Raw genomic sequence first — 27,053 nt, forward strand, 5'->3', positions numbered from 1 at the left:
ACCACTCGTTGGCACAAACTTGTAGGGCTCTGATAGTTCCTTGCACTTCTTTCATTTAGTGTTTGACACTGGTTCCAAAAACTCACTGTAGACTTCTCAAAAGGCACATGTTAGTTCTTAACTAGCAATTCATGACACTGCCAGATTCACTAAATATATTTGAATATATCGTATTCAAATATGTTGTGATGATACTTCATTATCTCATGCTATTTTTTATCTCATACCATTTTACCTCTTATAAAATGATATAAAAGGTAATAAGTGGTATAAGTGGTATAAGAGATAACAAGATACCATCTTATGATCTTGATTGGTCAAAAAGACCAATCATATTTTCACTTGTTACCTCGGATAAAATGGTGAGGTTGTTTCTCAAGCCTACCAAAGTTGGTAAACTCCTCAAGGAGTCTGGTAGCCTTAAGGCTATCAAAATAAAATCTTTTACACTTTTTTTTTCACTGATCAGAAGTCAAGTTATATGAATCTTGGGCCCTCCAATGGTTTGGTTCAGTGTGAAAAAACAGAAGTATTAGCAGAATGGATGGCATCAGGGGAGTTCAGACACACAGCATGGAACAGGGAGTACATTTTGAACTTCAATGTAATAGAAATGTCAAAGTTGCACAAGGACTGTAACAAATCAGGAATGACTCACTGTCTTGGTACTGTATTCTCTTTTGTTCCAAAACAAACAATAAAAAAACTTGACCATCCGCAAAATGAACTATTCTCTTTACTGTTTTTACTATTCTCCTTCACTCACTAACTCAATCATCCATTCAACAAATCCTTTTAGACTGCCTACTATGTGTCAGGCATTGTCCAAAACTCTGAAAACACAGCAGACAACAAGATAGACAAAAATCTTTCCCATATGAAACTCATATTCTGGTGAAGGGAGAGCAAAGAAATATAGTAGTAAATATATATATTTTGCCATAGAATGAAAAGTGATATAAAAATAAATAAAAATGAGAAGAAAAATTGAATGTGCCAGAAGTGGATGTAAAGGTACTGTCTCCCAAGTATAGAGAGGTATGGGTGTTAGATTTCTGGGATTAGGGGATGATTTGGAAGTACAAGATTTTTATGCTGACTTTCATGGAAGATATACAAGACATGGGATTGATTTTGATAATGTGAAGGCAAGTCATGGCTATGAAGCTATGGGTGTAGGGGAGAGAAGGACAGAAAAGTAGGATCTTCTAGTTCTATGTCCACTTATTTACTCTCTTTGGTGGAGACAGGCAAGAAATAGCAATTGTGAACTCATAGAGTAACGTACCATTCATATGTTTGAGTTATTTGAGTTCTTCTCCATCCTTTGCAAAAATATTTTTCCCAAACTAATCATGATCATGTTGAAGTCATATGCTCAGTGCCCAGTGCTCCTCTAATCAAAAGAAAGCCCATTTGATTTGAGGTAATATGTACATTACTTCAAAGACTAAAGGTAAGAAAATAAGTATACCCCTTCGGTGAGAAGAATGTACATTTCCGGGTATTAGATGTATGCTTCTCCCATACAGTCAATATAAGCTGGTTCTTGGGCTACTTGGTCTGAACAGCTTCTTGTCTCCCCCCTTTCTTCCTTTCTTCTTTTTCCTTTCTTCCCTCTCTCTTTCCTTTTCCTTATTTTCAACCAACACGTGCCCAAAACTATACTAAGTGCTGGAGGTGAATTAATAAGAATGTCACAGTCCCTGCTCTCATTGAGTTTTTATTCTAGAGATGATCACTGGAAACAGCAATCTAATTATTAAGTGAGATAATTACATATTATCAGCAGTACTCTAAAAAATAGATCATGTGAAAGGACAGAGTTAATAACTAATATTACACATTTTATGTGTTTAGTTATATATAACAAATGCTATCCTACAAGAGATGTATTTTTGTTGTTATTGTTTTTGAGAGGGAGTTTCACTCTTGTTGTCCAGGCTGGAATGCAGTGGTGCGATCTCGGCTCACTGCAACCTTTGCCTCCTGGGTTCAAGCAATTCTCCTGCCTCAGCCACCCGAGTAGCTGGGACTACAGGCTCCCACCACCACGCCCAGCTAATTTTTGTGTTTTTAGTAGAGACGGGGTTTTACCATGTTGGCCAGGCTGGACTTGAACTCCTGACTTCAGGTTGTCCACCTGCCTCAGCCTCCCAAAGTGCTGGGATTACAGGTGTGAGCCACTGCATCTGGCCTGGAGATGTATTTTTAAAAAGATTGAATGGAAATAATTACATTTTCTTTTAGGTTTCCTAAAGTGCCTAATATAACATTTAAAAAAAATCAATATAGCCAACTTTAATTTTTTTGAAAGACCAGTTGAAGAGATATCATTATTTTCATTAAACCACTGGTGGAAAGAAAAGTATTTTATTTTTAAGGTATCCTACATGGCTCACAAGGATTTTCTGAACATGAATACTAAGTTTTTAAATGCATCTTGACCATCTAAAGTAAAGATACTACAAATAATATGTTTAATATTTTAAAGCCTAAATGTTAATACTATAGTTACCTTGTGTTTGTTACGAACAGCGCTTAAAAAATAACTGAAACTAGTTACTAACATTTCCAGGTACAATTGAAAGTACTAATTTTGTAATTGTAGCTTTGAGCTGGGCATATAACAACAGTTACAGGCTTTATCTTTCTCTGTTAAGTGATCATTGTTGCTCTTATTATTCTCAAATCTTTAGCTAATGGCAGGGAAATTGCCAACACTACTAAGATCCACCCACTGGCATTGACAATGTCATTCTAAGTCAAACACCTGGTTTCTCCTGCCTTATTTTGTATTACTGATGGAATTATGGGCATTTAAATGCATGAAATAGTTGTCCATTCTGCTCTAAGGGATGATCTGGACAAACATCATTATGCTTTACACTCTCTGATGTTAAATAGGATTAATTACCATGGCATTCCCTGGAAATTCTCACTTAATCTCACTCTTCTATCCATACAAGTGCTTATTTATTTGTATTTACTTTGTCCCACTGAAACAGCATTTTATCTGTGAGATAAAACGGCTATTATAAATCTCATAGCAAATAAATATGTTGACTAAATCAGAACCTTTTTACAAATACTTATAATTGTGAAAGAGTTTATGAACTCAGCGTAAAGATTAACTGTTCATTTCCCCTTGTAACATTTGTAATGATTTTTAAAGAAAAATACTTCATTTGTAAAAATGCTGCAAAAACCTATTGGCAGTCCCATCTTGTAAGCTTGAAAATATACACTCTTATTCATGCTCACTTTTAATTTAATTCTGTAAGTATATTCACACATGGCAGTCATTGAGCAAATGGCATTTTAAGTCAAATACGTATAACATAATAATCTAAATCCTGTGAATAAGTAGTTCTTTTCATTATTTTAATAAAGAATTGACATATGTTTATATAAGGGAAGTATTTTATTCTAATATGCATTTTTTTTTTTTTTGAGACAGAGTCTTGCTCTGTCACCCTGGCTAGAGTACTGTGGCACAATCTCGGCTCACTGCAACCTTGCCTCCCGGGTTCAAGCGATTCTCCTGCCTCAGCCTCCCCAGTCGCTGGGATTACAGGTGCTCGCCACCATGCCCGGCTAATTTTTGTATTTTTAGTAGAGACGGGGTTTCACCATCTTGGCCAGGCCGGTCCCGAACTCCTTACGTCATGATCCACCCACCTCCGCCTCCCAAAGTTGATGAGATTACAGGCGTGAGCCACCGCGCCAGCTCCTAATATGCATTTTTAATGTAAATCAGTTTATTAAGATGACAGAATCTAAATGGAGAAAAACCTAAATCAATATACTCAACGCAGCTGCTTATCTAAATTCAGAATCACAAGGGAATGACTTTGCTCACTTAAATTCTATGAGTGTTATTTTATCAAATGGGGAAAGGGCTAAGAAGCAGATTTTTCATGTTGTTAGTACCATTTCAAGTCCTCTGTTTGCTGCTGACAAACTGAGGCCGCCATTCTACCAAGTGAAGCCTGCTGTGCCTCCCCTCATCTGACACTGTGAACCAAATATGCAGGACCACGATGCCAGAAATAGTTGCCTATGCTCCTCTAAGTAACACTCTGGACAAAAATGCATTTGTATTTCATACCGTGGTTTATTTCTGTGACCCAGTGAAATCGATGGTTCCCCATATTGCTCTGCACAGTTTCCAGTTTGGCCCCAAACCCATGATTCTCCAACCTAAACCCATCATTGTGTCTTCGGGAAATCCTGCTCAATCAGAAAACTCTTTTGTCCTCAATTACTTATACAAATATATTCTTCACCATACTGACTTTAGAAAAATCTGGCTTCCCCTTAAAATTATTCGTTCAGTAATTTTAATGAATTTAATCAGAGGCTAATTTTTCTCATATCTGTTGTACTTCAGTGTAAGAAAGGTGTAGACAACGGCTGTATAGGCACTTCTGGATTATTTATGTTTCCCAAGCAAGTCGTTTTCCAGATAGATAATTAGAAATATACAGATATAAAAGATAGATGGATATACAGATACAGATAGATAGACAATAGATGATAGATCGATTGATAGATAGATAGATAGATAGATAGATAGATAGATAGATAGATAGATCTCACTCCTTTGAATCTCAGGCCATTCGGTTACATGACTCTCCTATCCTCTCCCCAAAGTTTAGCTCCTGTTTCTCAGTATTTCTGTCTACCCATAGTCTTTCAATATTCCCAGTGACTTAAATAACAATGTGAATAAACCACCCAGAAGAGCTCTATGCTCCTTTTCATAAGAAATTATCATTAACCTTCTTTCTTGCAGTGACTTTTTTTCTACATGTTGGCCTGTCAAAAAGAATATGCCCATACCTTAGGTTATTTCATTCAGAATTTTGCTTTCAAGAATTGCACATCCAGGTCTGTTTTAGTCATAATCTATGTTCTCAAAACCACAAATGTGTTGTGTGGCTGAGTGACTCACGATGTACTTACAATACTTATGGGAGAGACTAAGATGCCTTGGTCAAGTTTGTGACATTCTTTCAAGAAAGAAAGTTCTTTACACGTTTGTCGAGGCTTTTCAGGGATTTATTCTCTGAGACGTACATTGTAAAATTAAGTCAATTTAGACCGTAGCTTTTCAACCACAATTTTCACTTAAGCAAGCTTTATTGAAACTGAGATTTTACAACAGCCCCAAAGAGAGTGCTGAATTCTTACTGTTGGAGAAGATAGCTTAAGAGAAGGAATACAAAGATCTAGATAACAAAGATGAACCTCAGACACCTGTTTATATTTTAAAGGGAAAAGCTAAGGTAGAGATTTCACACCTTATGCAAATGGAATAGCAAGTATTTTTAGTTCTTTCATTACCAGAATCGGTTACTGGTAGATGAAATAGGACGATTCAGAGTTCCACATACTCATTCTGAATAGGATTCAGACAATATAGCACAGATTTATTCAAAACAACATAAAAGAGAGCCACTCAGAATTAAAGAATCAAATTATCATCTATGCATTTTCAATAAAGAGAAAATAGGCAATGAAAAACAAAGACACACCAACGAAAAAAAATCTGTGTGTGTAAAACTTTAACTTTTTCAGATGGTAATTAACGCACATATGCGAGAGAGAACCTTCTGTTCTATTCCTGCAAGAAACACATTTGATAAGTTCCCCACCCTATCTTATCATGTACGTCTGTATTTTTTTGGAGAGGCAGAAACCCTCAAGAGAGGGCTAAAAGTGGGTGTGATACACACTTGAGGAAATTGAAAAATATGAGGATTTTATCTGGCTCTGAAGATGTAAAATATATGGCACAAGACAGAGACCAGGAATTTCCACTAGCCTCTAGAACTTCAAATATCTGTGCCCCTAAGGGAAGTCTATGATAGATACTGCTATTAATCTTGATATTGTTATTAACTCTACCTTCCTTAAAAATGAATGGCAACTTACAGAATATATACCTTGCCATTCGTTTTCAAGGAAGGTAGATGTTGGTAACTGTGAAATGTGATATATTTGGTTATACAAATTTAGGAGGAGGATCTAAAATACAATCACACTGTTTTGCATAATAAGGAATTTGGAGCCCCAGGAAAAGTACAGAAATTCGACTTGAGAGACAGACTTATCCATTATATCTAGGGTGTAAGGAAGGCAAGGCTCTTATATTCTATACAGAATACAAGGAAATAAAACATAAAGGAAGTACTCAATCTAAACTGTATTTCAATGTGTGATTTGTGTAATATGTAATGTAAACCCACCGTCTATCTCTCTTATACATCTTCAATCAAATATTCATGCCATTTTGCAAATGGATGTTTTTTTCAGAGCTCAAAGGGAAGTACAAAAGAAGCAACAGCGCCTACATCAAAAGAGTGGAAAAACTTTAAATAAACAACCTAATAAAGAATCTTAAAGAACTTAATGAATCTCAAGGAAAAGTAAAAGCCAACCAAACCCAAAGTCAATAGAATAAAAAAAAATAAAAATTAGAACAGAAATAAATGAAATTGAAGAAAGAAAATGATACAAAAGATAAGCAAAATGAAAAGTTGGTCTTTTAAAAAGATAAATAAAATTGACAAACCTTTAGCCAGATTAAGGTAAAAGGAAAGAAAACCAAAATAAATAAAAATCAGAGATGAAAAACTAGACATTAAAACTGATACTACAGAAATTCAAAGGATCATTAGATGCCCCTATGAGCAACTATATGCCAATAAATTGAAAAACCTAGAAGAAATGGATAACTTTCTAGACACATGTAACCTACCAATATTGAACCAGGAAGAAATCCAATATCTGAACAGACTAATAACAAGTAATGAGATTGAAGCTGTAATAAAAATTCCTTCAGCAAAAATAAGACTGGGACCCAAGCTTCTCTGCTGGATTTTACTAAACATTTAAAGAACTAATACTAATCTTACTCAAACTATTCTGAAAATTAGAAGAGGAAGGAAAACTTTCAAACTCATTCCATGAGACCAGTATTACCCTGATTCCAAAACCAGAAAAAGGTATATCAAAAAATGAAAACTATAGGCCAATATTCCTGATAAACATTGACGCAAAAGTCCTCAGCAAAATACTGGCACACTGAATTCAACAATAACTTCAAAAGATCATTCATCATGATCAAGTGGGATTTATCCCAGTGATGCAAAAATGGTTCAACTTACTCAAATAAATCAATGTGATATATCATATCAACAGAAAGAAGAGCAAAAAGCATATAATCTTGTCAATTTGATGCTGAAAAAGCATTTGATAATATTCAACACCCTTCATGATAAAAAGCTTAGAAAACTGGGGATAGAAGAAATATACAACAAACCCACAGCTAGCATCATACTAAATGCAGAAAAACTGAAAGCCTTTTCTCTAAGATCTAGAACATGACAAGGATGCTCACTTTCAACACTGCTTTTCAAAATAGTTCTGGAAGTCCTAGCTAGAGCAATCAGAAAAGAGAAAGAAATAAAATTTGGAAAGAAAGAAGTCAAATTACTGTTGTTTGCAGGTGATATAATCTTATATTTGAAAAAAAAAACCTAAAGACTCCACCAAAAAAACTATTCACAATAGCCAAGATTTGGAAGCAACATAAGTGTTTATCAACAGATGAATGGATAAAGAAAATGTGGCCTGTATACATGATGGAGTAGCATTTAGCCATAAAAAAGAATGAAATCCTGTCATTTGCAACAACATGGATGGAACTGGAGATCATTATGTTACATGAAATAAGCCAGGCACAGAAAGACAAACTTCATATATTCTTACTTATTTGTGGGAGCTACAAATGGAAACAATTGAACTTACAGCGATAGAGCATAGAATGGTGATTACCACAGGTTGGGAAGGATAGTGGGTGTAGGTTGGTGGGAGGTGGAGATGGTCAATGGGTAATGAATAAGATCTAGTATTTTATAGCACAACAGAGTGACTATAGACAATGCTAATATTGTACATTTTCCGCAACTAGAAGAATTTAATTGAATTGCTTGTAGCAAAAAGGATAGATGCTTGAGGTGATGGATACCCCATTTTCCATGATGTGATTACTGTATATTGCATCCCTATATCAAAGTGTCTCATGTAACCCTTATGTATATATACCTACTATGTACTCATAAAAATTAAAAATTAATAAATAAAAAGCGACAGAATCTTGATTATAGTCATGCATATCTGAGGACTTACAGATGTTTAAGTATTTAAATTGTAAAATATAACTAATGAAAATATATTGTTTCTTTCATCACATATGTATGTCCTCTTGTTCAAGACAACGTTTTCATTATTTTTAAAACTTAATTTTATGGGCAAGAAAAAAACTGCATGAATTTAAGTATATAATACTTCAATATATGTAGACAAATTGTAATGTAATATTTATTAGCATCTTAAAACAAAATATATATAATATTTATTTTAAGTTCAGTTCAATTTAACATTTTATCTATAAAGGCATAGACACTACATTATCTGGGGGGATACAGCCCAATATTACAGTGGTCGCAGAATGTCAATGTTTAGTTGTCTCTAGGAGAGAATTCTTAGGATTAGGAACACTCATGCGAGCTATATGAGACAGGTAGATAAGCTCCTTAAATGAGATGAACAAAACGAATATTGTGCTATCGTTTATTTTTCTAATTTCTTGAAATAAGAAAAATTATTCCTCTTCTATGGCAGGACAATTATTTTATTATAAAAATCAATGCTAAAGTTTTTACTAGCATAAAGTTGTGCACATAGATTTCTGGGTTATAATGGCTGCTTACAGTATTTGTTTTGTTCTTATGCACTATCCAACTGTAAGCATTACAAAATATTTATCAATCACTCATCCACTATTTCAAGAATATGCCTTCCCTTTATCTCTATTATAATCTACTACATCTTCACAAATGATATGAAAGTGTACGTATAAGTAACAAGTACATCATGCTTTCTATGTGCTAGCAATGTTTCCAATAAGCTTGCATGTTCTAAATAATAACAGTGTCACATGAAATTTACATACTGGGTACTATTATCATTGCCAGTTTATATATCGAGAAACTAAGACACAGAAGCTTTAAGTAAATAGCCATCCTACTTGGAAAGTAGTAGAGATGTGATTTGAACCCAGACTTTATAATAAAAGTTCTTAACCACTATGTTATGAGCATCAAAAAGATAACTTATAAAAAATATCCTAGGATTTCATCAATTTAGGGCCACTACTCCTTTGCTACTTGAAATATTATCTTTTGGTCTTGAAAATGAAATGTATGTTCCATCTTAATCTTTGTTGATGTCCCTTCTTCAGTTATAACCTGTTTTAATCCTTCCATATGTTTGATTGATACTAAGTGTTTTAAAATCAATATTGTCAACTTCATAAAACACAGTTCTTGTAAAAGTTTAAAATTTCAGCTGGGCACCGTGGCTCACGCCTGTGATCCTCACACTTTGGGAGTTTAAAATTTCACTTTGATATACATTTGCATTTTTTGTTAGATATTCTCCAAACACAAAAATAGGTCTCAGACTGAAAGACTAACTGTGCAATTATGGACAATTCTGTTAAGTTAGAATGATGAAGAGGTGGATTGAATGAGATCTATTTCTATAACTGGTCAGTTCATTTTAGCAGACCTTTTTGCTATGACAACCTGCTAGCTGAGATTCTAAAGAGCCTACCTTCTTTATCCACTGATTTTTTTATGTCTTTTTTTTCTCAAATAGACAGGCCTCTAGGTTCTAATTTACTTGAAAATCTTGAAGAGAAACTCAAGAATACATCTTCATTATGTGGACTAACTATAGAATGTGTGCAGCCAGTTTTCCTGCTGCATTTATAAAACCCAGGGACAAATTATATTCTTTAACTTTTACTTATGACTGGCTGTAACTTAGAGTTATATATTACATTCTTTGCTAAGAATAGTTTGTAAATTATTAACAGACACTGTTAAGATCCTTTCTCTTTTTATTCTAATTTAAATTATTTTAAAATTCAATATTAAAGGGCATGCAAAATGATAAAGAGGAAGTCAAACTGTCGCTGTTTGCTGATAATATGACTGTATACCTACAAAACTCTTAACGACTCATCCAAAAAGCTCCTAGAACTGATAAATGAATTCAGCAGTTTCAGGATACAAAATTAATGTACACAAATCAGTAGCTCTGCTATACACCACCAGCAACCAAGCTGAGAATCAAATCAAGAACTCAATGCCTTTTACAATAGCTGCAAAAAATAAAATACTTAGGAATATACCTAACCAAGGAGGTGAAAGACCTCTACAAGGAAAACTACAAATCACTACTGAAAAACATCATAGAAGACAAAAGCAAATGGAAACACATCTCATGCTCATGGATAGGTAAAATCAATTTTGTGAAAATGACCATACTTCCAAAAGCAATCTATAAATCCAATGCAATTCCCACTAAAATACCTCCATCATTCTTCACAGAACTGGAAAAAACAATCCAAAAATTCATATGGAACCAAAAAAGAGCCTGCATAGCCAATGCAAGGCTAAGCAAAAAGAACAAATCTGGAGGAATCACACTACCTGATTTCATACTATACTATAAGGCCATAGTCACCAAAACAGCATGGTACTGGTATAAAAGTAGGCACAAAGACCAATGAAACAGAATAGAGAGCTCAGAAATAAAGCCAAATACTTACAGCCAGTGATCTTTGACAAAGCAAACAAAAACATAAAGTGAGGGAAGGACACTCTATTCAACAGATGGTGCTGGGATAATTGGCAAACCACATGGAGAAGAATGAAACTGGATCCTCATCTCGCACCTATACAGAAATCAACTCAAGATGGATCAAGGACATAAATCAAAGTCCTGTAACCATAAAAATTCTAGAAGATAACATCAGAAAAACCTTTCTAGACATTGGCTTAGGCAAAGACTTCATGACCAAGAACCCAAAAGCAAATGCAACAAAAACAAAGATAAATAGATGAGACTTAATTAAACTAAAAAGCCTCTGTACAGCAAAAGAAACAATCAACAGAGTAAACAGACAACCCACAGAGTGGGAGAAAATCTTTGCAATCTATATATCTGACAAATGACTAATATACAGAATCTGCAAGGAACTCAAACAAATCAGCAAGAAAAAAACAAAAAATTTTATCAAAAAGTGGGCTAAGGACATTAATAGACAATTCTCAAAAGAAGATATACAAATGGCCAACAAACATGAAAAAATGCTCAACATCACTAATGGTCAGGGAAATGCAAATCAAAATCACCATGTGATACCACCTTACTCCTGCAAAAATGGCCATAATCTAAACTTTTAAAAAAAATGTTGATGTGGATGTGGTCAAAGGGAATACTTGTACACCGCTGGTGGGAAACGTAAACTAGTACAACCACTATGGAAAACAGTGTGGAGAGTCCTTAAAGAACTAAAAATAGAACTACCATTTGATCTAGCAATCCCACTACTGGGTATCTACCAAGAAGAAAACAAGTCATTATATGAAAAATATACTTGCACTCTTATGTTTATAGTAGCACAATTGTCAATTGCAAAACTATGGAATCAGCCCACATCCATCATTCAATGAGTGGATAAAGAAATTGTGATATGGCCGGGCGTGGTGGCTCACGCATGTAATCCCAGCACTTTGGGAGGACGAGACTGGTGGATCACGAGGTCAGGAGATTGAGACCATCCTGGGTAACATGGTGAAACCCCGTCTCTACTAAAAATACAAAAAAATTAGCCAGGCATGGTGGCGGGTGCCTGTAGTCCCAGCTACTTGGGAGGCAAGACTAGGTAAAGATAAACACACAGGGAGGACAACATGTGACTATAGAAGCAGATTGGTGTGATTTCCCTACAACATCACAAATGCAAGGGAAGGCTTAGGGCCACCTGAAGCTGAAAGAAGCAAGAAAGGACCCTTCTCTCACCCCCACTTCCAAGTTCAGAGGAAGCATGGCCCTGTCAACACCACAATTCTGAACTTCCAACTTCCAGGATTGAGAGGATAAATTTCTGCTGTTTTAGCCACACAGTTTGTGGTATTTTCTTATGCGAGCCCTAGGAAACTAATACAAACTTGAACATGGCAGAAGCTTGAAACATGTATGAGTAAAGTGCTGTCCAGTGACTAGCCATCTTTCCTTTGGATTTAGATGTCCAAATCCAGACCAGATCGACTTGATCTGATGTCTTTTTTAAAATCCAGTCCGTGGCTATGGTGGTGCAGATATGTTAATAAAAACTAAAATAACAACAAAAACAACAAAACAATTGATAAAAATTAAAAGCATAAAAAGTGAAAAAAAAACTCTCAAAATAACAATATATATGTTAGGCACACATAGATAAAAGTGCTTAAATTAGAAATTTATTTTAATTTAATTAACTAGTTATTTATTCTTATTACTATAAAGTATAAATTTTATTCTTAAGAAATAAATCATGAGGTGTATGACAGCATAGATATCCTAATTAAAATATCTTCCAATTTTACTCTGAATTCCTTAAATTCCAATGCCTAGGATTTGGTAACTACAAAATAAATGTGAGGCTGCATTAGAAAAGACAATAAAAATGATGTGAATTTTAATTAGTTTGAATGATGATAACTATAATCAATTTGCTCACAATGTTACTTTGAGATAAAGTTTTTAAATTAAGTTACACTATTGCAAAGCTTCGAAATACTTGTTTAATAAGACCAATACTCCACAATGCCAGATTTTTTAAATAAGCCATAAAATTAACCAGAAAAAAATGAATAGCATATTATAAAAATGGTCTACTTCCCTCACCCCAAACCTATATTCACTGTTAAGGGTAGGAGCAAAATCCACCTCAAGATATGTTATAGGGATCATCAAGAAGTCAGCAAAATCATCAGTGCTGTCATCATTTTTCTGCTGCCTAATTGGGCTTCTTCTCTTCATTATTCTCTAAAATCAGTGTATAGTTTTGAAGAAATCCCATGTCTCTTATTTTATATTTCTACTACTAAAACAAACTGAATATGCAGTAATTGGTCCTTAATTATTGAAGAAATATTGGAATACATCAGTGATTCAACACTATCTTAAATCATTTATATACACTTTGTTATAAATGTGCTCAGTTGTTCGGTAGTGCCCTTGAATATTGGATAAATCAGCTTTTATTGACTTATAGAAAGTTAAACATTGCATGATCTCCAGAATACATTAGGAAAGATATTATAAATTCTACAAGATAAAGAACTTGTAATTCCTTTAGGTATTTAAGATATAGATATCTATCAGAAGTAGATATCTCTTTTTAAACTGTCAAACACCATATAAATGTTACTTGAAATTAATATTGCTGATGATGTAGTCAAGTTTGCTACAAAAATGTTGTTATTCATATACTTTTCAATAATATGGATCAAATATACATTTTTTCATTATAGAGTAAATTTAGAAAAAGTAAATATATTGTGCATGCTATATTTCAGTAAGTTTGTTAATATAGTCACTAATCATACCTGAGTTAGTTCATTAATATCTACAAGTCCATTACTGTCTGCATCAAAATATTTAAACATTTGATCCACCAATAGCTTCTTCCGAGATATGTCGTCGCCATTAGGATTTTCATTTTCTTGCATAATATATTTTTGATTTTGTAAATCTAATAGCATATTTTTCATCTTGCTGTATTCAGTAGTCTTGCACTTATCTCCTGTAACAAAAGAACTAGTTATTTTCAAGCAATATTATTGAAAAGAAATAGTTTATTTAATTAAGGTTTAGAAGTTATTTTATGAATAACATACTATGTACATAATTTTTACTTTTCTGGTGTTTTACGATTTACAACTTGTACAAGAAAAAAATGGGCTAGTTCCATGGTAGGATAGAAAACTTTTATCTCTATCAAATCTGATAACAACATATTTCTTTGTAGTTTGTTTATGAGGAAGGCATAGATGCTGTAACGGACATAGAAAAACATGATAGCTCCAGCTGGAAATTTATTTCAACGTTCAAATTTATTGTCTTAGTTTTTATCCTTACTCTATATTTCTGTATTGATAGTTTTATAGGTGCAGAAAATGAAGTACAAGAAGGTGAAATCAATTGCTGAAGGCAAAGGATTAGATTGTGCTGGATTTTGTATTGAAATATATATATGTACGTATATGCATACATATACGTATGTATATATGTATATATACATATGAGATTCCAAAAGATGATACCACATTTTAAATCTGAAATGTGTTTTAGACATTTGGATTTGCATTGATGACATTCACACATATATATTTACATTTATATTATTATTTAAAAAAATTTTTAGTTGTTACAAATAAATAATGTTACAAATACATTATGTACATAAATATGTACATAATGTCTGTACATATTTATGGGTTACATGTGGTATTTTGAGACAGGCATACAATGTGCAATGATTAAAATCAGGGTAATTGGGATATGGATCACCTCAAACATTTATGGTTTCTTTAGGTTAGGGTCTTTCCAAACCCAGTTTTTAATTATTTTGAAATATACAATAAATTATCGTTAACTACAGTTCCCCTGTTTTCTTACCAAACATTAGATCTTATTCCTTCTAACTGTATTTTGTACCCAACCAACTAACCCATCTTTATTCTCCCGCCATCACCCCCGCCACTATCTTTCCCAACCTCTGGTAACCATCACTTTACTCTACAGCCATGACTTCAATTATTTTTTTCAGCTTCCACCTTTGAGTGAGAACATGTGATATTTGTCTTTCTATGCCTGGTTTATTTCACTTAACATAATATCCACCAGTTCCAGCATGTTGTTGAAAATACCAGTATTTCATTCATTTTTATGACTGAATAATATTTCATTGTGTATATATATATATATATACACACACCATATTTTCCTTATCCATTTATTGGCTGATGAACACTTAGGTTGATTCCATATCTTGACTATTTTGACTAGTGCTGTGATAAACATAAGAGTGCAGATATCTCTTTGATATTCTAATTTCCTGTCTTTTGAGTATATATCCAGCAGTGGGATTGCCTGTAAACTGCTGGTGGGAATGTAAATTAGTACAAACACTATGAAGAACAGTATGAAGCATCTCAAAAAACTAAAAATAAATGTATTTTCTTAATTCTGACTTCTTAATAGCACTAAGATCATATTAGTATTCTTCTAACAGTGTTTTCTTAATGTTCTGATATTCATTCATCTCTTTTTTAGGGCCCCTGGTATATAATGTGATATATATTTGCACTTTTTATTTTTAAGCATTAAGTTTGCCTCTCCACAGCTAAATCATAAGCTTACTGAAGCAAGACTGTGTTATAGATATTTAGTACCTGCCATGTAATAACAGCACAATACTGGGAACATCATAGTTAGTGAAAATAATTTCTTGGATTACTGTCTCTCAGAAGTAAATAACGGCCAGGTGCAGTGGCTCATGTCTGTAATCCCAGCACTTTGGAAGGCTGAGGCAGGGGAATCACCTGAGGTCAGGAGTTCGAGGCCAGCCTGGCCAACATGGTGAAACCCTGTCTCTACTAAAAATAAAAAAATTGGCCGGGCACGATGGCACGTGCCTCTAAACCCAGCTACTCGGGAGGCTGAGGCAGGAGAATCGCTGGAACCCCGGAGGCAGAGGTTGCAGTGAGCCAATATTGCACCACTGCACTGCAGACTGAATGACAGGGTGAGACTCCGTATCACACACACACACACACACACACACACACACAAAAGGAAGAAAAAATTCTCTAATATTTTCACACAATTCTTTTATGTGAAGGAAAATAATTTTACTTACAATGGCCTCATGATGAGGTCTTTATAAATGGCATATTGAAATGGCATGTATACTGCTTACAGCAAATGCGATATGAAATATATTACAAAAAATGCAGTGCATAAATAATTTGAAAATTACATAATAGGTTTTATGTTAGTTGAGATTTTTTATAACATATTTTTAGGAAAAAATCCTAACTTTATAATTATGATCAATTTTGACAATTAGGCTTAAGAGCATGTACAATTTTAAAAGAAAATGTCTAAAGATATTTAAATATGTGTCTGAGAAGCATGGGGCTGCAAAACAATATCTGAATCTCATTCTCTTTCGAGACAAAATGGAAAACAATCTCTTCCAAAGAGATGATAGACTGTCTTTATTTTTCAAAGACAGTGAAATTACTATTGTTGTTCAGCACTTTGGTTTTTAGCAATCCTGTCAACAAGTTCTTTTTCACAACAAAATGTAAACTTTGTGCTGCAGATTAAGTCAATTTTGTATCATTCTGTTCTCACTAAAGAATAATAATAAGAATATGTTTTCATAACAGCAAGAAACTCATTGACAAATGAGAGAAGTAATCAAATCCGTAGCCATTGCTAGCAATTTTGGTATCGGGGAAAGCAGCACAAAGGGAACCTTCAAATAGCAAACATGTATTTATCTGAGTGCACAGGTGTGCATCAGGAAGGAGAGAAATGTGTGATGAAAAAAATTCTGAAAAGGATTATACACCATTCCAATAGCCTTTCCTTGGATTTCTGTACATGACCCTGGGTCTGTATTGCCTTCATTTCTATCAACTGCCAGTGGAAGCCATGTGGAACTGGAGGCTGAACTTAGACCAATGGCATTGGGGAGATCTGAATGTTGGCGAGAGATGGATGGGAAATAGGAGTTAAACACTGAAAACCTTTAACCAGTATTTAAAACTGGGGAGAGGGATAGAGTTTGGGTTGCCCCACTCAAATTTTGATCTAATCTAGTCAGTGTGATCATCATAACACTCTCATTAATGCTTTCCTTCCCCAAATTGTTGTAAATTTCTTCTCCAGTCCAGAAATTGGGGTAGTTGCTGGAAATCCAAATAAAATAACCAAAAAAAATTGCAGTTAAGGCATTCATATTCTATAAATATGTACAATATGTATGCAATTATATAATTTTTTGTGAATTTATTAGTTTAGAAAATTTCTGTCATAGACTTTTTAGTTATAAATATGTGTATGTTATTAATAATAGATAACAGGTAAAGAAGGCTTCCCATGTGTCAGAAACTTTACACATATTAAGCCATTTTATACATATTGAATCTTCCCAACAACCCAAAAAGAAAATCAATATGATTACTACCATTTTGCAGATGAGGAACTAAGGCACAGAGATGTGAAATAACTTGTTCAAGGTTATAGAACTAGGAAGGGCAGAATTATTTTTACATATGTGCCATATCTCCCTTTTATCCACTAACTTTATTTCTCTCATTTTCAGAACTCAGTTTTTCTTTTTAACTATTTTATTTAATAGCTAAAATTAAATATTTCATGAATTCTGTAATTTGTCCAAGGATTATTTGTAAAGTTATATATATATATATGTATATATATATATATATATATATATATATATATATGTATATATATATATATATATATATATGTATATAAAATAAACCCTAGGCAATATCACTGTTTATATTACAGAAGGAGAAAGAACACACACACACATGCACACACAAATGTAGTATCTAAGAGGTAACAGGTAAACTATTAGAATGTATTGAATAGAAAGCCAAAGGGAGAGAACTTTTCAAGAAACAGAGTGTGATGAAATGTAAAACATTTGAGAGTAAAATTAAGGTAAACAAAATATGTCCCTCGGAGTCCTTCAATTGGAGGTAATTAGTAACTTTAAAGAAAAATGCTAGTGACTAAATGGTGCAAATTTTACATTGCAATTGGTTGTATAATTATTTAATAATTATTGTATAAATAAATAATTGTATAAATAAATAATTGTATAATTATTTAATAATTATTTAATAATAATTGATAGGAAAGAAAAACATCTAGCACGGTTAATACAGAAGAAGAGACATTTAGAAATTGTGCCCCCTCCCCAAGTCCAAAAATAGCACCAAGCAGGAAGGAAATAAGTTTTTGTTTGCTTATATGGTTACTTTGATAGAATCATTTTCTCAAGTTAATTGACAGGCAGAGTGAGATTGGCATAGCTAAAGAAAAGAAACAATTTCCTGGATTCACTTCATGCTCTGGGAGACCAGTGCGAAATCTCCTCTGCTGTTCCTGTTCTAGACACAAAGAATATACTAGTGAAAATGAAAAAATCCTTATTTATTGGTAACTGTAGATTATCTTCCTTCCCATGGATACAGCGTCACTAGGGCTGTGCTGACCTTTGACTCAAGAGTCATTCTAAGGGCAGGGAAAATCCATCTGGCCTTGTGGGTCCTGCAAGGATGCAGAATCACTGACATCCAAATGCCTGCACCTGTATAGCTGGCAGTGCCTCTCCAAGTCACACAGAACTGAGGACAATGACACCTTACACATCTGAGAGTACAACCATCAGTTTTGAGTACATGATAAGTGCTAAAAATTATAGATTATACCAATTATGCTTAGTAAAATATGTTTTTGTAAAGGCTGCAATTTGTTCTTATCTCTTTGAAATGACACTTTTATCCTTTCCTCCTATCCTCCAGTAAAAAGTACCAATTCCCTTCAACACAAAAGATTCAATCAAAAGCATAAAAGGAAACCATGTTTTATCTTTTTGACATTTATTGATAGAATTTGATTAGTTTGATTCCAATATAAGCTGAAATCTTAGAAACTCAAAGAATAAAAATGTTTTTATTTAGAATAAATTCTATCTGTATATTATAATGTATGTAGAAACTGTTTTTCCTCAAATTACTCAATAATTGCTAATAAAACACAAATATTTTAGATAAATATTTTGTATTTAAAGCATAAAAAAGATGTCAAAACTTCAGTTGATGTATTTAATATGCATATATGAATCAAATTCAATGTGGAAAGCTATCATATTTATATTAATTATAAGTAGTGAAACTATGTATATGAAGGAACCAAAATTATCTTGGTTAAAGGTAGCCTGAACATAATTAAAAAAAAAAATTTAAATCTAAACTGTAATGTCTACCTAAATTTCAAAAAGATTGAAAGTGTCAATTGTATTGTGTTTTTTGAACTTTACTTAAGTGTACTACAGGTATATATAATAAAGTAAGCTTACTATGTTTCAGGTACTAGTCTAGTTCTAGAGATTCACTAGTACAAATACACTTACACACACCACATTAGAACATAGTACATTTAAAGAGCCGTGATTATTGTAAATACAGGGGCATTTTTTAAGACTTTGGTTTTTAGTGTTTTAGGCTTACAAAATTGACCAGAACTTATAGAGTTCCAATATACCCTTTTTCCCCAACACATGCAGCTCTTCCCCAGCTATCGACATCCCACATCATAGTTACAATCGATGAACAAATATTGAATACCATTATCACTCCAGATCCATAGTTTAACTTATGCTACTTTAGATACATTAAAGTTCTTGATGTTGTACATTCTATGGGTTCTGACAATTGTATAATGACATTTATCTACCATTATACTATAATTTACAGAATAGTTTTACTGCCCTAAAAATCCTCTGTACTCCATCTATTCATCACTTTCTCCTGTAACCCTTGGCAACCACTGATTTTTTTTATGCTTTCCACAGTTTTATCTTTTCTAGAATGATAGTTGGAATCATACAGCATGTAGATTTTTTTCAAATTGGCTTCTTTCACTTAGTAATATGAATGTATGTTTCCAGCATGTCTTTTCATGACCTGATAGCTCACTTCTTTTTAGAACCGAATAATATTCCATTGTATGGATGTACCACAGTTTATCCATTCACCTGTTGAAGGGCAACTTGGCTGCTTCTGAGTTTTGGCAATTGTGGATAAAGCTGCTATAAACATCTGTGTGAAGGTTTCTGTGTATGGATTTAAGTTTTCAACTCATTTGAATAAACATCAAAAAGCATGATTGCTGCATGATATGGTAAGAATATATTTAGTTTTGTAAGAAGCTGTCAAAGTCTCTTCCAAAGTGGCCGTACCATTTTGTATTCCAGCAAGCAATGGGTGAAACTTGTATTGCTCCATATCCTTGCCAGGATTTGGTGTTGTCAGTGTTTTGAGTTTTCATCAGTCTAATAATTGTGTAGTGGTAGTTCCTTCTGTTTTAGAGCGGATTATTTTAGTTCATAAGTGATTATATTTTATAAGACCTTAGTTCCTTTATCCTACCCTCGCTTTCTACACACAGAAAATTTGAATTGGTTTAATTTATAATTGCCCTAAGCATTGTTGAATAGTTAAATAAAAAGTGAGTGAAAACATGATTAAGTTGATTGACATGCTTACTGATTAATTTTGGGAATTAATCTTACTGGAAATAAAAGGGAAGTATCGTGAGTTAAAAATTCATTCCCCAAACACTTTGCTACTTAAGATATAACTTGTCAATTATATGCCACATTGTAATTGGCAACTGTCTCCAAATCTATCTAAGCAGTAGTAAAAACATAGTTTGATATTCTAGTTCAGCAAATGTGATTATGTATTAGAATTTCAATAAAGATGTTCTAGTATCCAGGTAACTTTGCTCTTTTAACCCTGAGAGAATGTTAATTAAAATATTTCTGAGGGTTGCAATTATATTCATCAAATACAACACACTTGGATCATATGTGCAACTTAGCCATTACTTCCTTTCTTCATCTCCTCCCACCACTGTCACAAACACAAAAGCAAATCATAAAGATGCAGAGAACATTAGCAGAAAACACAACAAAATAAAACAAAGCACGATACAATGGTGAAATTGATGATATGGAATGTGTAGCAACCTAAATAAAAAACGCAAATTTATTTTACCCCCCAAAAATACAATTTAACATATTAGCTATTATAACTCATCAAATGCATTATTTTAATGTTTAGTGAATTTAATAGTCTTTTAAATCATTATCCTTAGAGTAAAACTCAGGAAAATATAATACACTTCATATGAAAAGACGTGCCTTTTACAGAATATATGAGAGCTAATGCTCTTAAGCAGTTTGTAAATTAAGTGATTTCCCTAATTAATTATTTTTTTCCGGGTAACCTATCTATAAATGATTTGCACATGACATGCAAGGCCTTCCGTCTTCTCACAATACTACAATTGCTGGTAAAATTTAAGTGCATTATGTCTTCTTTCTTTCTTTCTTTTTTCTTTCAGTGCATTATGTCTTCTTTCTTTCTTTCAGTGCATTATGTCTGCTTTCTTTCTTTTCTTTTCTTTCTTTGCTTTCCTTGCTTTCCTTGCCTTTCTTTCTTTCTTTCTCTTTTTCTTTCTCTTTCTTTTCTTTCTTTCTCTCTCTTTCTTTCTTTCTCTTTCTTTCTTTCTCTTTCTTTCTTTCTTTCTTTCTTTCTTTCTTTCTTTCTTTCTTTCTTCTTTTCTTTTCTTTCTTTCTTTCTTTCTTTCTTTCCTTCTTTCTCTTTCTTGACAGATTCTCACTGTTGTCACCCAGGCTGGAGGGCAGTGGCATAGTAGCATGATCTTGGCTCACTGCAACCTCTGCCCCTTGGGTTCAAGAGACTCTCATGCCTCAGCCTCCTGAGTAGCCGGGATTACAGGTGTGTACCACCATGCCTGGCTAATTATTATTATTATTATTATTTGAGATGATGTCTCACTCTGTCGCCCAGGTTACAGTGCGGTGGCGTGATCTCGGCTCACTGCAGCCTCCATCTCCCAGATTCCAGCTATTCCCCTGCCTCAGCCTCTTAGGTAGCTGGGATTACAGGCACGTGCCACCATGCCAGGCTAATTTTTGTCTTTTTAATATAGATGGGGTTTTGCCATGTTGGCCAGGCTGCTCTCGAACTCCTGGCCTCAAGTGATCCTCCCCACTCAGCCTCCCAAAGTGCTTAGATTACAGGTGTGAGCCACCATGCCTTGCCAATTATGTCTTATATATTATGCTACATAGGCCTTAACAGTTTTGATTGTAGCAGCCTGTGCTTTACAGACATTGTTAATTTTGATTTGTAATTCTGTGAATTTATATGACTTTTGGTAGTAAAAATATATGAAATATATATTTTTATTTTTTATAAATTTGACCTTTTTTTAAAAAAATAACCAGATTACAAAAAAGTAAATCTATGACTGCATCAAATATAGTCAAAAGATGCATGTGATTCTATTAAGAACAAGTCTCTTAGTGCTCTTTAACACTAAACATCTTCTCCACTAATTTGTCACATCATTCAAATATGTGACTGCCAATGAGAAAGTTATTATTTCTATTCATGTTATAGAAGATATGCTATCCACGGGCTGGGTGCAGTGGCTCACGCCTGTAATCCCAGCACTTTGGAAGGCGGAGGCGGGTGGATCACGAAGTCAGGAGATCGAGACCATCCTGGCTAACACGCTGAAACCCCATCTCTACTAAAAATACAAAAAATTAGCCGGACGTGGTGGCGGGCGCCTGTAGTCCCAGCTACTCAGGAAGCTGAGGCAGGAGAATGGCGTGAACCCAGGAGGCGGAGCTTGCAGTGAGCCAAGATCGCGCCACTGCACTCCAGTCTGGCGACAGAGCAAGACTCCGTCTCAAAAAAAACAAAAACAAACAAACAAAAAAAAGAAGATATGCTATCCACATCTATGAAATCATAGGTATCTAACACATTTTTAACCCGATACTTACACAGTAATCACATTGCTGGCACTGTTGTGTTTTACAGATTTTAACTCATTTAATCTTTATAATGACACTAAGAAGTAAATGTCATTTGCCATAGCATAACTTTGAAAACACAATAGACCCAATAATAGACTCAACATTCGACTTTACGTGAAGATCTGAGGAACTTTTCACCATAGAATGGTAAGCACATATCTCAAAAATAAATTTAAAAGTTTCACATGAGGTACAGAAGCTACAAGGTGCATCCATTTGTCTTGGGTGAAAGTACAGCTTTACTGTTATTTTTTCTGCAAATTTATGTGAAATTCTATCCAGGAGTCAGTCTCAGGAGGACAGCCTGCCTACATGTAATCTGATATGCATATTCAATAATAAATCATATTTCCCCTATCATCTACACTGGAACAGAAAGAACCTTTGGTTGATAAGGTTTTTTAATTTCTCCAAAAATTATTAGAGCAACTAAATAATAATGAAAGGGATGACTCCAGACTGTCTAAATCTCATGGTTTTGTATTCATCTAACAATATAACTTATAGCTTCAAAAGTTGTAAATCAAATGATGATACAATTACAAGGCAAGTTTGATAAACGACAGTCATAGAGAAAAACTGCAATGCAGCTATATGAGAAATGTATATCAAGCAGCCATAAGGCATAATACTTTGGTTTGGACTAAACCCAGAAATCTACATTTATAGGAATATAGTACTCTTCCTTAAGCATGTTTAATGCTGACCTTACATATAGTTAAAGATTGAGGTTCAGGTTAATTTTTTTCTGAAGTGTATTCCCAAGCTCTGGGACTTTTGGCCAGTTTGGTGTTAAAAGTCCATGTTTATGAACATAATTATATATTTTTTTCTTGTCAATGAATGTATCTGTCAAGAGTTTACATATGCCTTGCCTCAATATCTCAGTCATGCTTTGTCTCATTTATCACAAGAAAAATGCAAAAGTGGTAATGAAATACAGGATTTCTTCTACAGTTTATACATCTATATTCCTTTTACATTCATTCTCTTTGACCAAACAAAAGATAATACATTCTCTTTGACCAAACAAGAGATAATACATTTATGAATGTTTATTGACATCTGACCTTGTCTTTATCAGATTTAACACCAAGACAATTATTTCCAAAATACATCTAATTTATTCTATATAATTGTAAATATTAAAATACTAGCATATAATATTAAACATAATATCAACATTCATAGCATTGTTATTATTTTATGTTAGATGCTTTTATGTAGGCTCAATCGTTGTAGTGGGTTAATATATAAAACAATTCATAGCATGTTACACTGGGGAGAAATATCTTGTATGTAAGTGGGCAAAGTTGCCTTATTTGACCTTATACCAACTCAATAATAACATATAAATGAGTAATCTGAATAGATGTAACCTGCAGAAAGCCATGTCCCTTAGGTTATCCCAACTATTTGTTAACTGTGATTACTTCTTTTAAGCACAGTCAACCTTTGAGAGACATTGTTCTGTAAGAGTCCTATGAGAGTTCTTATTTCAATCAGTCATAGCCTGGATGCTAGCCTTAATTCTTCCTAATTGTCCCCAAACCGACCAAATAAATACAAGTAATCCTATGAATCTTTGTCCCTCCAGAAAAGAGGATTACTCCGTGTTTTCAAGTAAGACTTGGTTCTGGTATATAGTTAAATTGTCAAGAGAAGATTTCTTCAGCTAGACATGTATCTACCATTCTCTACTATATGATGATTCTTTGCAATATTTCCCAATAATGTAACCTCTATTTTCCCATGAAATTTCAAACACCTCCTATACAAATACTATGTATTAAGAACCTCTGGTATGTGTAACCTATCTGCCAATGTCCATCACTTTTTTTCTAGAAGATTATAAATGCCAACATTAATTTCTCAGTATTACACATTGCATATTTGACTTTTTTTATTCGCACACTTGCAAGATAAACAAATAAATGTTTAATTGTGCACTTTCTTATGAATATGCATCATGTTTTAACAATAGCTTATTATGACCTTGACCAAAGATATTAAGGAAGTAGAAAAGTAGAGGTGAATAATAGGAGATAGAGTAAATTGATACTTGACATTTTCTACTTTAAGTGACTGTGATGCCATCAATAGAAATTCAGTTTCTAATGTTGATATTCAATATATCTTCAGTGGATAAATATAATGAAAATGACAAAATAATTTATAAATGAGATGTTTAAGGTAACTGTGGAATATCCTGGTAGAGGCCTTGATAAGAGAACAGAAAATATAATTTGGTTGCTTTGAAGCTCTGTAGTTTAGAAGAAAGGAAGTGCTTGATGAATTGGATTTGTGAGTGACTGGTGAGTGCTTGACAGTTGAAGCCATGATTGTAAATGAGATTGATAAAAGAGAACATTTGTAAAGTGTGAAGTGAAGGTCATTACGGTTGAATTATGACCATGCACATTTTATAAGGAGTAATATTCCACAGACTACTTAAAAAGAGGCTGCTGAAACATTGATTAGTTTGGTGAAAGAAGAAATGAAGATGGTTTAGTCATTCAACTTTAGATGCTAAAGTCTACTTCTTGATACGGGAAAGTATATAACTATTGCAAATTAGATGGAAAAATATGATGAAAAAGAGACGTTGCTCTTCTCTGAAATAAAAAGTGTTTTCTGTAAAATCTAGCTGACATTTTGATTTTTACCATATGCAAGGATGTGTGTTTGAGTGTCTGTGTGTGCATACATACATAGAACAAAATCTGTGGTTATGTTAATAACAGTAGCGACAGTTCATGTAGAGATATATTCCTTTGATATGGTATTGACATGTTCAGAAATAGTTTATAAGCTACATTAACAAAGATAGGGTTCAAGATAACTTGTACTATGAATAGTTGCTTTTTCATTAATTTGCCTTTTCTCAAGTCACTTTTGTTGCAACTGAAAAGCATACAACTTATGAATATATTTAAGAAAAAAATTCATTTAAAATGTGTGAAATTTCTGATGTCAGTAGGGAGATGTAAAATTTCTAATTTTCACCTTGTGCATAAACAGCAGAGGATAATTACTTAAGTATTTGCCCTTTTCATGTATGTTGTCAGATGAAAATGAATTGCGGATACTCTTTTTAAAGTTTTATTGGTTTTTAATTGACACGTAATAATTGTACATCTTTATGGGTATGTTTCAATGCATATATACATTGTGTAATGATCAAATTAGGGTAAGTAGTATATCCATCACTTTAAAAACATGTCATTTCTTTATGATGTGAACATTCAAAATCCTCTGTTCTTGCTATTTTGAAGTATACTATACATTATTGCTGACTATGGTTACCTTATTGTGCAATAGAACACCAGAGCTTATTCCTTTTATCTGTAACTTACACCCTTTAACCAATCTTCCCATCTCCCTCCCTTCCAAGCCTAATGCTCCCAGCCTCTGATAGTTGTTCCACTATTCTATTCTCTACTTCTATCAGCTCAACTTTTAAAGGATAACCTAAGTGGGAACATGCAGTATTTTGTCTTCTGTGACAAAGCCTTTGTTAGTAATTCAGTTTCACAGGTGCGTTGAAGAATTATTTAGTAAAAACACTTTGAAACAACACCTGTGCAGGGCATCACTGCTCATGCCTATAAACCCAACACTTTGGGAGGTAGAGGCAGGAGGATCTCTTGAGACCAGGAGTTCAAGACCAACCTGGGCAATAATGTGAGACCCCGCCCCTGTCTCTCCAAAAATAATATTTTAAAAAATTAGCTGAATGTGGTGATGTGTACCTGTAGTCTTAGCTACTCAAGAGGCTGAGGTTGGAGGATCGCTTGAGCCCATAAGTTTGAGGTTACAGTGAGCCACGATTGTGCTACTGCACTCCAGCCTGAGTGACAGTTCAAGACACTGTCTCTAAAAGAAACAAAAATAAAAACAAAAACAAAACAATGCCTGGATTTCAAAAGTTTCTGAGGAAACAGAAAAACTAAGATTTTCCCTTCACATACACACCAGAATTGTTTCTTATTTCATTTACTGATTTGGTTACCTGTTTATGAGCAGTGGAAACAAAAATATCTTCTCTTTGAAGATGACAGATTAATATTTATATACCTATTTTTTATATATTTGTATCTATACACTAACACAAAAATATATAGCTTAGTAATATTTTATTTTCTTAAATTACTTTTTTTTCCTCTTAGGCTCTATAATTAAAATAAAATATGGTAACTTATGATTGTCATTTTGTGTTAGTTGAACGTTGTTTAGATCATATACTGATTCTTAGTATTTGGTAAGTAAGTTTGGAGCAAGCAAAGGGACGACTAGGTGTTGCCAATAAAAAAAAATTCATTATTTATAGCATGGCTTTCTGGGTTTTTCCATTCTAGCCTTTTGTGGCCTTTGAGGTATTTTATTACCCTAT

At 33.6% G+C, this 27,053-nt stretch overlaps 1 protein-coding gene across 4 annotated transcripts in view; it reads right to left on the reverse strand.

The window, feature by feature from the left end:
• The window catches only part of FSTL5 (follistatin like 5), a 780,104-nt gene that overhangs the window by 378,464 nt on the left and 374,587 nt on the right, over positions 1-27,053 (reverse strand). For all 4 annotated transcript variants that reach the window (NM_001128428.3, NM_001128427.3, XM_011532126.1 and 1 more), the window contains exon 5: positions 13,518-13,714. In NM_001128428.3, the coding sequence (NP_001121900.1) occupies positions 13,518-13,714 (197 nt within the window). The remainder of the gene's footprint in view (positions 1-13,517; positions 13,715-27,053) is intronic.

This window comes from Homo sapiens, chromosome 4, assembly GCF_000001405.40.
Source record: "Homo sapiens chromosome 4, GRCh38.p14 Primary Assembly".
Lineage (NCBI taxonomy): Eukaryota > Metazoa > Chordata > Mammalia > Primates > Hominidae > Homo > Homo sapiens.